General features: G+C 44.2%; 1 protein-coding gene across 1 annotated transcript in view, besides 2 other annotated features; it reads left to right on the top strand.

Moving 5' to 3' along the window:
- The window catches only part of FBXO40 (F-box protein 40), a 36917-nt gene that overhangs the window by 12936 nt on the left and 9350 nt on the right, over window positions 1-14631 (top strand). The window contains exon 2 of the mRNA NM_016298.4: window positions 14232-14264. Within this exon, the coding sequence (NP_057382.2) occupies window positions 14262-14264 (3 nt within the window). The 5' untranslated portion in view covers window positions 14232-14261. The remainder of the gene's footprint in view (window positions 1-14231; window positions 14265-14631) is intronic.
- Window positions 8418-8918: an enhancer, noted in NCBI's record as "H3K27ac hESC enhancer chr3:121333579-121334079 (GRCh37/hg19 assembly coordinates)". NCBI's record gives its function as "activates a minimal SCP1, AML or CMV promoter by ChIP-STARR-seq in primed H9 embryonic stem cells {active_cell/tissue: H9 hESC(primed)}" and the evidence as "EXISTENCE:reporter gene assay evidence [ECO:0000049][PMID:30033119]".
- Window positions 9294-9494: a silencer, noted in NCBI's record as "peak4795 fragment used in MPRA reporter construct". NCBI's record gives its function as "represses an SCP1 promoter by STARR-seq MPRAs in K562 erythroleukemia cells {active_cell/tissue: K562}" and the evidence as "EXISTENCE:reporter gene assay evidence [ECO:0000049][PMID:32103011]".

A 14631-nucleotide genomic window follows, 5' to 3' on the forward strand; every position in this document is an offset into this window, starting at 1 on the left:
GGCGTCGGTAGCTTGTGGGGCTCCATAAGAAACAGGTTTAATTCAAGACAAATGTACCTAACTGTGAATCCCTTGCAGTTTAACTGCTATTGGAGTGCTCAGAGCACTTGATATGGACCTTTCCACATTGGGGAAAGCTGGTCACTAGAGACCCTTCCATTCAAGTCTTTAGTAAGGTTAAATACCCTAGTTGAACTGAAACAGAATTTTCCTCTCATGTGGGGAGGGAAAGCCTTTTATATCCATATTCACACAATGCATTTTGCACTTGTCCTAGATTGATAACATATTTTTGTAATTAATGAATCATTTCATCTATTAGGAGATTTGCAGTTAGGAAAGGCCTTCCATATGTTAATGCAAAAGGACTTAATTATAAGTTTCCCTTTGGAGCAGCTCAAACCTGCAGTAAAGCTACAGGCAATAGAGATAGCCAGGTCTCTGATGTTTCCTGGCAAATTTAGCCGGAGTCCTCTTTAGCCTATGATTAACCCTTTCCACCTTTCCAGAGGATTGGGGTCTCCATGCAGAATGAAGATGATATTGGATTCCCAATGCCAAGGATAGGTATTGGGTTATGCCTGCCGTGAAAGAGGGGCCATAGCTACTTTGCAATCTTTCAGGTAATCCAAACTGAGGAATTATTTCTTTTAATAAACTTTTAGATAGGCTTGGTGTGGTGGCTCATGCCTGTATTCCCAGCACTTTGAAAGGCCTAGGCAGGTGGATCACCCGAGGTCAAGAGTTTGAGACTAGCCTGGCCAATATGGTGAAACCTTGTCTCTACTAAAAATACAAAAATTAGCTGGGCATAGTGGTGCATGCCTGTAGTCCCAGCTACTTGGAAGGCTGAGGCAGGAGAATCGCTTGAACTCAGGAGGCTGAGGTTGCAGTGAGCCGAGATTATGCCATTGCACTCCAGCTTGGGCGACAAGAGTGAAACTCCATCTCAAAAAAAAAAAAAAATTGAGAGACCTCTAAAGCTCTTTTTTTTTTTTTTTTTTTTTTTTTGTGAGATGGAGTCTCACTCTGTTGTCCAGACTGGAGTGCAGTGGCACGATCTCGGCTCACTGCAAGCTCCGCCTCCTGGGTTCATGCCATTCTCCTGCCTCAGCCTCCCAAGTAGCTGAGACTACAGGCGCCCACCACCACGCCCGGCTAATTTTTTGTATTTTTAGTAGAGACAGGGTTTCACTGTGTTAGCCAGGATGGTCTCGATCTCCTGACCTCGTGATCCGCCCACCTCGGCCTCCCAAAGTGCTGGGATTACAGGCGTGAGCCACCGCACCTGGCCGAGACCTCTAAAGCTCTTTTGGATCAAGTGGGGGAAAGCCTTAACCTAACCAGTGAAGGTAACAATAAACACCAGTAAATATTTGAATCCCCTACATAGAGGCATTTAAATAAAGTCTAGTTGCCAGACTTCACCCAGATAGGCTCCTTTATGTTGGACAGGTTTAACTAGAGGTGGGGGCAATGGCTGGCTGCTTGGGTTATTTTGGGCATAGAGCTTTCAGGCTGAAGTCATCTGTTTTAGTGTCTTGAAAAATTTTCCCATAAATAAATAAGATATCAACTGAAATAAAGAATCCCTTCCCAAATGAGTGGAATTATGAAAATGCTTAACTATTTTACACTGATTGGCACTTGGCATTAGTAATTTGTTATCATTAACCAGCCAGAGGGGTCCTGGGCCAAATCGTGATCCCTGGCCCATTTTCGTTCTTCCTTGGAGTACACTGGCTCGGCTATGTCTGGGGCTGTGGGCACTAGGATGCCCATAAGCGTTAACTGGCTCTTTTAGTGCAGTGGCCTTGGCCCCCACATCTGCAAGGGCATTTCATTTAATAATATCATCAAAATGTGCTCTGCAATGAATTACAGCCATTTCTTTTGGCAGTAAAACAGCATCTAACAAGCTCAAAATATCCGAGTGATGTTTTCTGGGGGAGTCCTTAGCAGTGAGAAGTCCCCACTCTTTCCAAATGTCGGCATGACCATGAAGCATTAAAAAGGCATGCTTGGAATCATCAGAAATGTTAATTTTTACATCCTTTTCCAATTGCAGGGCCCTAGTAAGAGCAATTAGCTCAGCTTCCATCTGTAAACCATTCTGTCTCAGGATTGTTAAGAGGCTCATCTCTTAAGTTTGGCCTGCTAGAATAAATTTGCTCCATAACCTGTATGCAGGAATGGTTTAGAGCGTCTGTGGACTCTGGCAGACAAGCAGCTGGGTTTACTTGGAGAACTTCAAGAATTATGTCTGGTGTGTCTAACAGTAAGGCCTGATGCTTTAATAAACATCCTCCCATCATCCACTGGTGCCCTTTAGCTTCTAGGACCCCCTGGACTTGGTGTGTGGTCAAAACCTCCAGGTGCTGTCCTAATGTTAGCGTATTAGCTTCATCTACCAGAAGAGCAGTAGCTGCAACAGCCCAAAGGCATCCAGGCCATGCAGAAGCCACATGGTCGAGTTGCTTAGAAAAATAGGCTACTGGCTGTGGAATATTCCCCAATTTTTGGACAAGAACATCCAAGACCATACCTTGCTTTTTGGCCACATAAAGGAAAAATGGCTTATCCAAGTTGGGGATTCCTAAGGCTGGAGCAGAGCCCAATTTCGCTTTGACAGTATTGAAGTTTTGTCTGCTATTCTCATTCCAATCAAAGCGTTTTAAATCTGTCCTTTATAGAACCTCACATACAGACTTGAAATGTTTGCCCAAATCCAGGCACCCATAAATGGCAGAACCCAGCCATCCCTAAAAAGGCCCACATAGGTTTCTTGGTATGGGGCTCTTGAATGAGCTTCCTTCCATTCTGAGGCTATTGCTTGGGTACCAGAGGTTAAGATGCAACCCAAATTGATTCTGGAGGAGTGTTATAAATAATAAAGAGAGAAACAAATAGTAAATAATAAAAAAATTTATAAAAAAGATATATTCAAAATATTTGACTTTCTGAGTAGAAATCTGAGCCTTGTGTGGTGACACCCTATATCCAGTAGTTCCTAGGAAATTTAGCAATTTAACGGTAGTATTATCTGAGTTCTCTTTAGTTGGGCTAGCAATGAGCAAATCATCTACATACTAGATAATTGTGCCCTTTTGCAGTTGTAGATTCTTCAAGTCCTTAGCTAGAGCATTTCCAGACAAGTGTGGGTTATCCCGCAACCCTTGAGGGAGAACTGTCCAGGTTAGTTGTGAGGTTGAATGAGTATCAGGATCATTCCTTTCAAAGTCAAACAGAGGTGTGGATCTGGATGCACTGGGTGCAGAAAAATGCATCCTTATCTTCCTTTTTTCTCTCCTCAGGGGAGAGGAACAAAAGTAACACTCGTTTGTTTTATGCTCTCTGAAGGTAACCATGCCTTGCAGCCGAATCAATAAATTCCTCCCCAGTAAGGGGTAGGGCATGCAGGTAGTACTAAAAAGCCATGCAAGAAAACCAGAGTCCCTGAAGGACAGCTTAAAGGATAAGGAAAGTGGCATTTCTGGGCTTGCCCATCAATGCCTGTACAGCTATAGAAGACAGGGCTCCATTATGCTGGGCCAGAACAAAGTAAAATGCTCCCATATTGAATAAGAAATTAATAATCTTATCTGCCACTTCAAGAGTCACCTGAGTCTCCTCCAGAGCAATGGCTAATTGTCCAACAGGAAATAAGGTGTGAAGTCTTGGGCTGGTGTCACTCTTAGGTCTGCTGGGCCATTATGGGTTCAGGAGCCGATTCTTGGGAACACAGGGCATTCCCTCTTCCAGTGACCAACCTTCTTACAGAAAACACATTGGTTTACACCCAGGACACAGTGGCCCAGGGCACAGTGGCTCGGAGGCCCAGAATGGGGCTTTCTGCCTGCTAGCTTCCTCTGGCAGGGCTTGGGGGATAAGGGGCTGGCTCTGAAGGGGTGGAGAGCTCAAGGCTGCAGCTAAAAGCTGGGCCTTTGGGAGGTTTGCTTTACTTTCTCTGCCTCCTCTGCCCTATCTTGGCCATTGAAAATTGCAAAAGTCATGTCTAAAAGCTGATTTATGGAAGTCCAGGGGCCTAAGTTTGCTTTTGTAGCTTCCTGCAGATATCAGGAGCAGACTGGATTATGAAATGAACTCCTGGCAATGCCTGTCCCTCCTTGGAGTCAGGGTCAGTGTTAGTATATTTCCTCAAGGCCTCAATTAACTGCCCTTGGAACAAGGTTGGGTTTTCATCCTTTCCATGAGTAATTTCCCTGACTTTATCATAATTAACAGGCTTTATCACAAATCTTCTCATTGCTTCAAGGAGGCAAATAATCATATGGTTTCTCCTCTCTAGGTTCTTACTTCCTTTTTTTGTTGTTTTTTTCCTCAAGACGGAGTCTTACTCTGTTGCCCAGGCTGGGGTGCAGTGGCAAGATCTTGGCTCACTGCAACCTCCGCCTCCCAGATTCAGGTGAGTTCTCCTGGCTCAGCTTCCCAAGCAGTTGGGACCACAAGCACATGCCACCACATACGGCTAATTTTTGTGTTTTTAGTAGAGACAGGGTTTCACCACATTGTCCAGGCTGGTCTCAAACTCCTGACCTCAAGTGATCTGCCAACCTTGGCTGCCCAAACTTACTTCCTCTTAATAACTCCAATTTAGGTCCCAGTCAGGAACTGCTGTACCTCCTACTGGATAGATGTCATGCCCCTGGTTGCAGGCTGCCACTCCATCTGCATATGCTTTAACAGCTCCCATAATATGCTGCTTTTCTTCTTCTGTGAAGCAGGTAGACAGATGTATATGCAAATCTTGCCAGGTTAAATCATATGTTGAAGGGGTGGCCTGCCCCTCCACACCTGTGGGTATTTCTAGTCGGGTGGGACGAGAGACTGAGAAAAGAAATAAGACACAGAGACAAAGTATAGAGAAACAACAGTGGGCCCAGGGGACCAGCGCTTAGCATACCAAGGACCTGCACCGGCACCGGTCTCTGAGTTCCCTCAGTTTTTTCTGATTATTATCTTCATTATTTCAGCAAAAAGGAATGTAGTAGGAGGGCAAGGTGATAATAAGGAGAAGGTCAGCAACAAACATGTGAGCAATAGAATCTATGTCATAATGAAGTTCAAGGGATGGTACTATACCTGGATGTGCACGTAGGCCAGATTTATGTTTCTCTCCACCCAAACATCTCAGCGGAGTAAAGAATAACAAGGCAGCATTGCTGTAAACATGTCTTGACTCCCACCATAGGGTGGTTTTTCTCTGATCTCAGAATTGAACAAATATACAATCAGGTTTTATACCGAGACATTCAGTTCCCAGGGGCAGGCAGGAGACAGTGGCCTTCCTCTATCTCAACTGCAAGGGGCTTTCCTCTTTTACTAATCCACCTCAGCACAGACCCTTTACGGGTGTCAGGCTTTCTCATCCCACGAGGCCATATTTCAGACTATCACATGGGGAGAAACCTTGGACAATACCCCGCTTTCAAGGGCAGAGGTCCCTGCGGCTTTCCGCAGTGCATCGTGCCTCTGGTTTATTGAGACTAGAGAATGGCGATGACCTTTACCAAGTATACTGCTTGTAAACATTTTGTTAACAAGGCACGTCCTGCACAGCCCTAGATCCCTTAAACCTTGATTTTATACAACACATGTTTTTGTGAGCTCCAGGTTGGGGCAAAGTGGCTGGGGCAAAGCTACAAATTAACAACATCTCAGCAAAGCAATTGTTTAAAGTACAGGTCTTTTTCAAAATGGAGTATCTTATGTCTTCCCTTTCTACATAGACACAGTAACAGTCTGATCTCTCTTTCTTTTCCCTACAATATGTCAATGTTAGTCTCTCAAATTCATCTATGAATTTTCCTAGACCCTCTAAAAACCAGCTGAATTTTTTCTGGCATAAGGCTGTCAGGCACAGAAAAGGGTACATGTACCCATAGAGTGCCCCTGTCACCATCTGCCAGCTCCTGAAGACAGCAAAGAGTCAACTTCGACGGCTGGTAAGAGGCCCCACTAAGAGTGGTGCTGGTGAAGCTAGGCTCTTTGGGGAACGAATGTAAGACAGGGCTTGAAGGGTAAGGAGGAGGTGATGGCAGGACATCGGACAACCCCAAATAACTAGGAGGGGTTAATAATACTTTGGACACTTCTGGGGAACTAGGAGTCTGACTTTGTTCCTCCGGAGCACTTGAACTTACAGTGGGGAGTCTGGAACCAGCTGGGGGAAGCCTGGGATTAGGAGGCACTTGCATAAGTGGTCATGAATTATGTCTAGTCCTTCATTTTTCTCTCCTTCTATCAAACATATACAAGCGTATTTTAAATCCTTATCCTGACTAACCATTAGGAAGGCCTGCACATAGAGTATTTCTCCACACTTAGTTTCCCTTCTACAAAACAAATCAAGCCGAAGTATAGTGTTAGGGGCCGCTGTAACACCTGAGGTCCACCTTTCTGGTCCTCTCAAAGGATATTGGGGCCAGTGTTATATTAAAAAAAAATTTCTCAGCCGGGCGCGGTGGCTCACACCTGTAATCCCAGCACTTTGGGAGGCCGAGGCTGGCAGATCACGAGGTCAGTGAATCGAGGCCATCCTGGCTAACACAGTGAAACCCCGTCTCTACTAAAAATACAAAAAAATTAGCCAGGCATGGTGGCGGGTGCCTGCAGTCCCAGCTACTCGGGAGGCTGAGGCGGGAGAATGGCGAGAACCCGGGAGGCGGAGCTTTCAGTGAGCCGAGATCCAGCCACTGCACTCCAGCCTGGGCGACAGAGCAAGACTCCGTCTCAGAAAAAAAAAAAAAAAAAATTCTCTTAAGCCCATCCAGTTTAAACCTTCCCTTCCCTAATAGGTTAAAATGCACCCTAACAGTGAGCTCTTCAGGATAGGTACTGCGTTCTCCACCAGGACTGAAGGTGCTGAATACCACTCCTTGTCCGCAAGATTGTACTGCCTCCAGCCGAGCTCCACTGAAAGGGACAAGATAATTCTTAGTGCCAATTTGGCCAAGGGAGGAACTACTGGAGCCAGTAGGGTCCCCTTGTTCATATCAGATAATAAGAACAAGTAAGCAGACCCATGGTCGCCTGAGGCAATGCCACAAGGAACCCAGCGAAGAAAAGATGATGAACCAAACAAGGGAAGTGGGCAAGCTGTAACTTGGGATCCCCTGACAAAACTATTTCAGGGCAAAAATGACATTCTGGGTCTAGAAAGCGGGGCCCGGCTGTCCGTGACCAGCCAATAAAAGATGATCTTCTGATTAATAGACAAGAGAAAACTGTTAAGAAAAAGTCTCCTGTCCTCCATTCTGGGGCTAATTTTTTGCAAGGAAAGTCATAAAAGAGGCTTTTTTCTTAAAGGGCGTTTCTAATCTTGTCACATATGGCTGTTAAATACCACACTTTAACTTGTAACTGCAGTAATGGAGAAGTTATTGCCCATCTCTTCCAATAATTAAGGTACAAAAAGACTAGATCCTGAGTGACTTCTTGTTTCCAGTGTCCCTCAGACAAGTGGCGAATTAAGTCAGAGGAGAGGCAAGGAAAGTAAAAGCTAAACTGTTTGGTGGCCGGGCATTGTGGCTCACGCCTGTAATCCCAACACTTTGGGAGGCCGAGGTGGGCAGATAACTTGAGATCAGGAGTTCGAGACCAGCCTGGCCAACATGGTGAAACACTGTCTTTACTAAAAATACAAAAATTAGACTGGGCGCAGTGGCTCATGTCTGTAATCCCAGCACTTTGGGAGGCCGAGGTGGGCAGATCACAAGGTCAAGAGATCGAGACCATTCTGGCCAACATGGTGAAACCCTCTATCTATTAAAAACACAAAAATTAGCTGGCTGTGGTGGCGCTTGCCTGTAGTCCCAACTACTTGGAAGGCTGAGGCAGGAGAATCGCTTGAATCCGGAAGGCGGAGGTTGCAGTGAGCCAAGATTGTGCCACTACATTCCTTCTAGCCTGGTGACAGAGCGAGACTCTAGCTCAAAAAAAAAAAAAAAAAAAAAAATTAGCTGGGCGTGGTGGTGTGCACCTGTAATCCTAGCTACTCAGGAGGCTGAGGCAGGAGAATTGCTTGAACACAGGAGGCAGAGGTTGCAGTGAGCCGAAATCGCACCACTGCACCCCAGCCTGGGCAACAGAGTGAGACTCTGTCTCAAAAAAAAAAAGAAAAAGAAAATGCTAAACTGTTTGGGCCATCCTTCCCGTGGCAGCCTCAGGGGTTCTGTGAAACAAAGGCAGCAAGCCGACAGGAGACAAGAAGCAGGACGCTCAGGCCAGCAACAGAAAGCACAAGGTGGATTACTCCCAAGGAGTTAGTGGCAAACATCTCATAGGGCCAAATCCGTTTTCCAAATAAACCCTGGGGCTTCTAACTCCTTGGGCCCTGGGCCTCAAACTCAAGTAGCAGTGGACAAGCATCCTTGTCCCCTGGAATAGCTTAATGACTCTAAAATGAGCCCCACTTACCCAAAGTCAGCCAACTGATGCTGCGCAGACTGTTTTCCTTCCGAGTGGGAGTCTCTTCTTATTGTCCATCCATACAAGGACACCAGAAGGATGTTGCAGGAAAAGAGGGTCACGACCCAGACACCAAGAGTGGGTTCTTGGATTCTCACAGGAAAGGATTTGAGGCAAGTGAAAGAAGCACATTTGCCAGGTGCGGAGGCTTTCACCTGTAATCCCAGCACTTCGGGAGGCCGAGGCTGGTGGATCACGAGGTCAGGAGATCGAGACTATCCTGGCTAACATGATGAAACCCCCACAAAAAGTTTGCTGGGTGTGGTGGCATGTGCCTGTAGTCCCAGCTACTCGGGAGGCTGAGACAGGAGAATCGCTTGAATCTGGGAGACGGAGGTTGCAGTAAGCCAAGATCGTGCCACTGCACTCCAGCCTGGGCAACAGAGAGAGCATCTCAAAAAAAAAAAAAAAAAAAAAGTAGCACATTTGTTGGAAACTACTCTGTTACAGACTAGGGCGTCCGCAGCAGAAGGAGGAACGCTCCCTCTTTTGTTAGTGTCTCTACTTATAAGAAACCCGAGGCAGGCAGATTCCTTGAGGTCAGGAGTTTGGAACAAGCCTGGACAACATGGCAAAACCCCGTCTCTTCTAAAAACATTAAATTAGCCAGGCATGGTGGTGCGCGCCTTTAATCCCAGCTACTGGGAGGTTGAGGTGGGAGAATCATTTGAACCCGGGAGGTGGAGGTTGCAGTGAGCCAAGATAGTGCCACTGCAATCCAGCCTGGGCAACAGAGCAACAGAGTGAGACTGTGTCTTAAAAAAAAAAAAAAAAGAAGAAGAAGAAAGAAAGAAACTATAAGGAAACTATAAGGAGCTAAATTAAACTTGAAATGGGCAGATGTGCTCACTAAAGGTAGCAGCTGTCAGTGTTATTGAACACCATCAATCTTTTAACCTCAGCTTGCTCATTAACATTATCTTTAAGTAAAAAGGGCTGCACTCTCAGGACATCTGGGCACTCTGCAGGCTTGGTGGGAGAAGTTTTGTCTGGCCATAAATATTCTGTAATTATAAGTGGTGGTCAGCTTGGGATGTGGCTATCTTCAGACCATAAGTATTAACCTTACAGGTGTCTTGTGAGTGCCTCGCTATTCACTTTAAGATGGAGTCACTCTGGTCATGTCTTATTAAATCAGAGGCCTGGTAAGCAGAGCTTCCTTTAACATAATCACTTCTCTAAGGCCCCACAGCCAGACACCCTCACACTGGGAATTAGACTTCCACATATGAATTTGGGGGTCGATACAAACATTCAGATCATAGCACAGTCCAACCCTCTCAGCCACCCTGCTCTGTTCCTCTCCTTCTCTGGCTTTAACACCTTTGTTTATCTTCTGCTGGGCCCTGACCCTGTTTGATGCTTCTGCTTGCGATTTCTCACCTGCCCCCTGACTAGGGCTATTAGGAGTATAGAGCACTCTGCCGTGATTCCTCTTTCACACTCAGTAGCCCCAGTGGGGTCCAGAACAAGGGTTCTCATTTATTAATGTGCATAAGAATCAGATGGGGAGTGTGTTAAGCATGTAAATTCCAGGAGTCCATCATTCCCTCAGGTCCAGGGGTACAGCCAGCATCTGTAGCAGTGGAACTTTTTGTGAAGATGGGAATGTTCTATTCTGTGTTGTCCTAAAGAGGAGCTACTAGCCACAAATGGCGATTGAGCACTTGAAATGTGGCTAACGTGACTGAGAAACTGAATTATTCATTTTATTGCATTTTGATTAAATTTAAATAGCCACATGTGGCTTGTGACTTTCATATTGACCAGTGCAGATCTATAGGTTTAGCAAGCATCACAGCTGACTCTAATGAACAATAGTGTTTAAGACTCTAACAAGCCGTCCAGGTGATCCTTATGCTCACTTACTGGCAAGTAGTAGTAGGTAATCAACAAATGTTTGTTGAGTGGGTGAATGAGTGGAGGAACTAATAAATGAATGAACCAGACTATAATTTCCTTGTGGTTTAAGGCTGTCTCTCCTGAAAAAGAAAATGTGGGGGACTGTTCCAGATTAAAGAGGCTAAAAAGACTTGGCAATCGAATGGAACAAATTGACATTAAAAGGATCCTTGTTCAAAAATGAGAGGTCTTAAAGCCAGACATAGAAAGACACGTATTGCATGTTCTCACTCATATGTGAGAACTAAAAAAGTTGATCACATGGAGGTAGAGAGTGAATGATAGTTACCAGAGGCTGGGAAGGGTGTAGGGGATAGTAGGAGAGGGAAGAAGAGAGGTTGGTGAATGGATATGAACAGACAGAGAAAACAAGTTTTAGTGTTTGATAGCAGAGTAGGGTGACTATAGCTAGCAACAATGTATTGTGTATTTCAAAACAGCTAAAAGAGAGGCCTTGAAACGTTCCCAACACACAGAAATGATAAATACTTGAGATGATGACCTAAATATCCTGACTTGATGATTACAGATTCTGTATGCATATAAGAAAATATCACATGCACACCATAAATATGCACAAATACTATGTATCAATTAAAAAATTTTGGGCCGGGCACAGTGGCTCACACCTGTAATCCCAGCACTTTGGGAGGCTGAGGCGGGCGGATCACGAGGTTAAGAGATCGAGACCATCCTGGACAACGTGGTGAAACCCCGTCTCTACTAAAAATACAAAAAATTAGCTGGGCATGGTGGTGGGCACCTGTAATCCTAGCTACTCGGGAGGCTGAGGCAGGAGAATCGCTTGAACCTAGGAGGCGGAGGTTGCAGTGAGCCAAGATTGCGCCATTGCACTCCAGCCTGGGCAACAGTGTGAGACTCTGTCACAAAAAACAACAACAAAATTTTTTAAAAAATAAAGTTAGAAGAAATAAGTTCTAGTATTTGATAATACAGTAGAAAAATTATAATGAACAATAATTTATTGTATATCTCAAAATAACTAAAAGAGGCCAGGCATAGTGGCTCACACCTGTAATCTCAGCACTTTTGGAGGCCGAGGCAGGCGGATCACTTGAGGTCAGGAGTTCAAGACTAGCCTGGCCAACATGGTGAAACCCTGTCTCTGCTAAAAACACAAAAATTAGCCAGGTGTGGTAGCGCCTGATTGTAATCCCAGCTACTTGGGAAGCTGAGGCAGAAGAATCGCTTGAACCCAGGAGGTGGAGGTTTCAGTGAGCTGTGATGTGCCACTGCACTCCAGGCTGGGCAACAGAGCAAGGCTCTGTCAAAAAAAAGCTAAAAGAGAAGAATTATAATGTTCCCAACATAAAGAAAAGTGTTTGAGGTGATGGATATCCCAATTACCCTAATTCGATCATTCCATATTGTATACAGGCATCAAAATATTGCATATACCCCCAAAATATGTACAACTATTATATATCAATAAAAATGTTTAATAAATAAAAATATTAAAAATTTAAAAATAACTATACTAGACATTTTGGAGACAACTGGAGAAATGTGACTATAGGCATTTTACATGATATTAGAAAAGTATTTTTAGTTTTCTTAGGTGAGACAATATTATTATAAGTCTTTATTCTTAGGAAGTACAAGCTGAAGTACTTAGGGATAAAGCGTCTTATATCAGCAGCTTATTTTCTTTCCTTCTTGTTTTTTTTTTTTTTTTTTGAGATGGAGTTTCACTCTGTCACCCAGGCTGGAGCGCAGTGGCGTGATCTCGATTCACTGCAACCTCTGCTTCCTGGGTTAAAACAATTCTCCTGCCTCAGCCTCCCGAGTAGCTGAGATTACAGGCATATGCCACAGTGCCCGGTTAATTTTTTTTTTTTTTTTAATTTTAGTAGAGATGGGGTTTCACCATGTTGACTAGGCTGGCCTTGAACTCCTGATGTCAGGTGATCCACCCGCTTGGGCCTCCCAAAGTGTTGGGGTTATAGGCTTGAGCCACCGCGCCTGGCTGGCAACTTATTTTCAAGTGGCTCAGCCAAAACTGTGTGTGTGTGTGTATGTGTGTGTGTGCGTGTGTGGTTGGAGGGCAGGGAGAGATTGAGAGAGAGACAGAGAGGAGAGAAAGAAAGGACACAAAAATGGTAAAATGTTAGCAATTGTTGAATCTAGATAAAGTATATTTTGGTGTTCATTGTATGTATTCCTTCACCTTTTCTGTATATTTGAAATGTCTTTTTTTTTTTTTTAAGTTGGGGGAAATTTTACCCACAATGAATTGGCAAATTCTAAAGTAAAGTAAAATGGTTTTTTGTTTGTTTGTTTGTTTTTGAGACAGGGTCTTACTCTCTCACCCAGGCTGGAGTGCAGTGGTGTCATTACAGCTCACTGCAGCCTTGACCTCTCAGGCTCAAGCGATCCTCCCACGTCAGTGTCACTCTCAAGTAGCTGGGACCATAGGCGTGCACCACCATGCCCCGCTAATTTTTTAACTGTTTTTTTTTTTAGTAGATACAGGGTATCGCTATGTTTCTCAGACTGGTCTTGAACTCCTGGGCTCAAGCAATCAACCTACCTCAGCCTCACAAAGTGCTGAGATTACAGGTGTGAGCCATTGCGCCTGGCCAAATTTTAAACTTATGGATCTTCTGACATTTGGATGCTAACCTCCCCACTCCATCACAGACTAACACTGTGCTGAAATTATGTTACAAATTCTGTAGACCAGATATTGCAAACTGGCAACCTACAGATCCTATCTGGCCAGCATTCACATTTTTCCTTGGCTCAAATAGTGTTGTTTTAAATTAAGTTAGTTGTTAACATTTAAAATTCAGAGTATTTTTATTTCGATATATTATGTAGTAAAATATTTTGCATTGTGATGAAATATAAAATACTACTTTATAATAGCAAACATGTATAGATCACTGCCTGTGAAACAAGCACTGTTCTAAGAGTTTCATGTATATTTAGGTCATTTACTCCTTACAGCAGCATTATGGGATAGGTACTATTATTATCCTCTCTCTACTGATGGGGAAACTGATGAGCGAAGAAGTGAAGTAAATTTCCCAAAGTCTCACAGCCACTGACTTGTAGCTCCAGGGTGGAAACCTGTGCAGTCTGCCTTCTAACCACTAAACCATATCACAGCTCACAAAAGTCCGCATCCCCACTGTCTCTGGAAAAACCAGGTCTGGCAACACATTCCCACATGGCATCAATTAACCAGGGCTGAGAAATTTCATTTCCCTGAAGACAGGGCATTTTCTCTTTCACTTGCCAGAGTCTCCATTCAGTCAACTTCTGGGACCTTTGGGGTTTTGACCCCTGCTCTAGCACAGCTGAATATACCAGGGGAAATGGCATGTTACAGATATTTCACAGACACCTATACACTGCCCCAGACAAAGTTAGATCTCAGACTAACCTCTAAGTGGACAGGAAGCCCCAGTGGAAGAGAAGATTAGAAGGTAACCTAGGCCAGATTGTGGGTAGCAGAGTGTTTAGGATGCCAGGATAATTGTCAGCAGACAATGGAGAAAGTTATAGGAAGCAGAAGTTAACATCCCATGATTGGTAATATGCCCTATCAGAGGGCAGCGGGGGTCAGTGAAAATAACATGGGCCAGCATGGCCTGGATTACAAAGCTGATTCCATCACTTAGCAGCTGTGTGACCTTGGACAAGTTACTTACCTTCAAGCTTCTGTTTCCTTGACTCAAACATGGAGATAAAGACACCTCCAGGATGGTGGAAGGAATTAAATGAGATAGTGTGTGAAGTCTCTTTAGCCTCTATTAATATAGGTAACCTAACTGTTTTTCTTACTAATTATTTATATTCATATTTTCCCGTAGAGCTAAGAAGCAAGAAGAAATTGGGGCGCCATGGTAAGCACCAGGAGCTTATTGAAGCTTCACCATTGAGAGGTCCAGGTCTTCCTTCATTTATCCTGTAGCCCAAGCAGCTAGCAGACTTGCTCTTATGGTTTGATGATATTTATCAACTTTTTTCCAAACTAGAGATGCTGAACAGAACTTGGAAGAAATTGACACAGAGTAAGGGGAAAACAGTTGAGAAGGATTTTTGAGCAAAGAGTTTAAGTGAAAATTTAAATAAAATAGTCAAAAAGCCAGCAATAATCTAAATGGCTAGCAATTCCTTCATTCAGCAAGCATTGAATACCCACAAAGGTCCAGGTCCCATGCTAGATGCTAGGGACATAAATGCGAGCAAAACCAGACATGGCTGCTGTCC

The sequence above is a fragment of the Homo sapiens genome, chromosome 3 (assembly GCF_000001405.40).
Source record: "Homo sapiens chromosome 3, GRCh38.p14 Primary Assembly".
Lineage (NCBI taxonomy): Eukaryota > Metazoa > Chordata > Mammalia > Primates > Hominidae > Homo > Homo sapiens.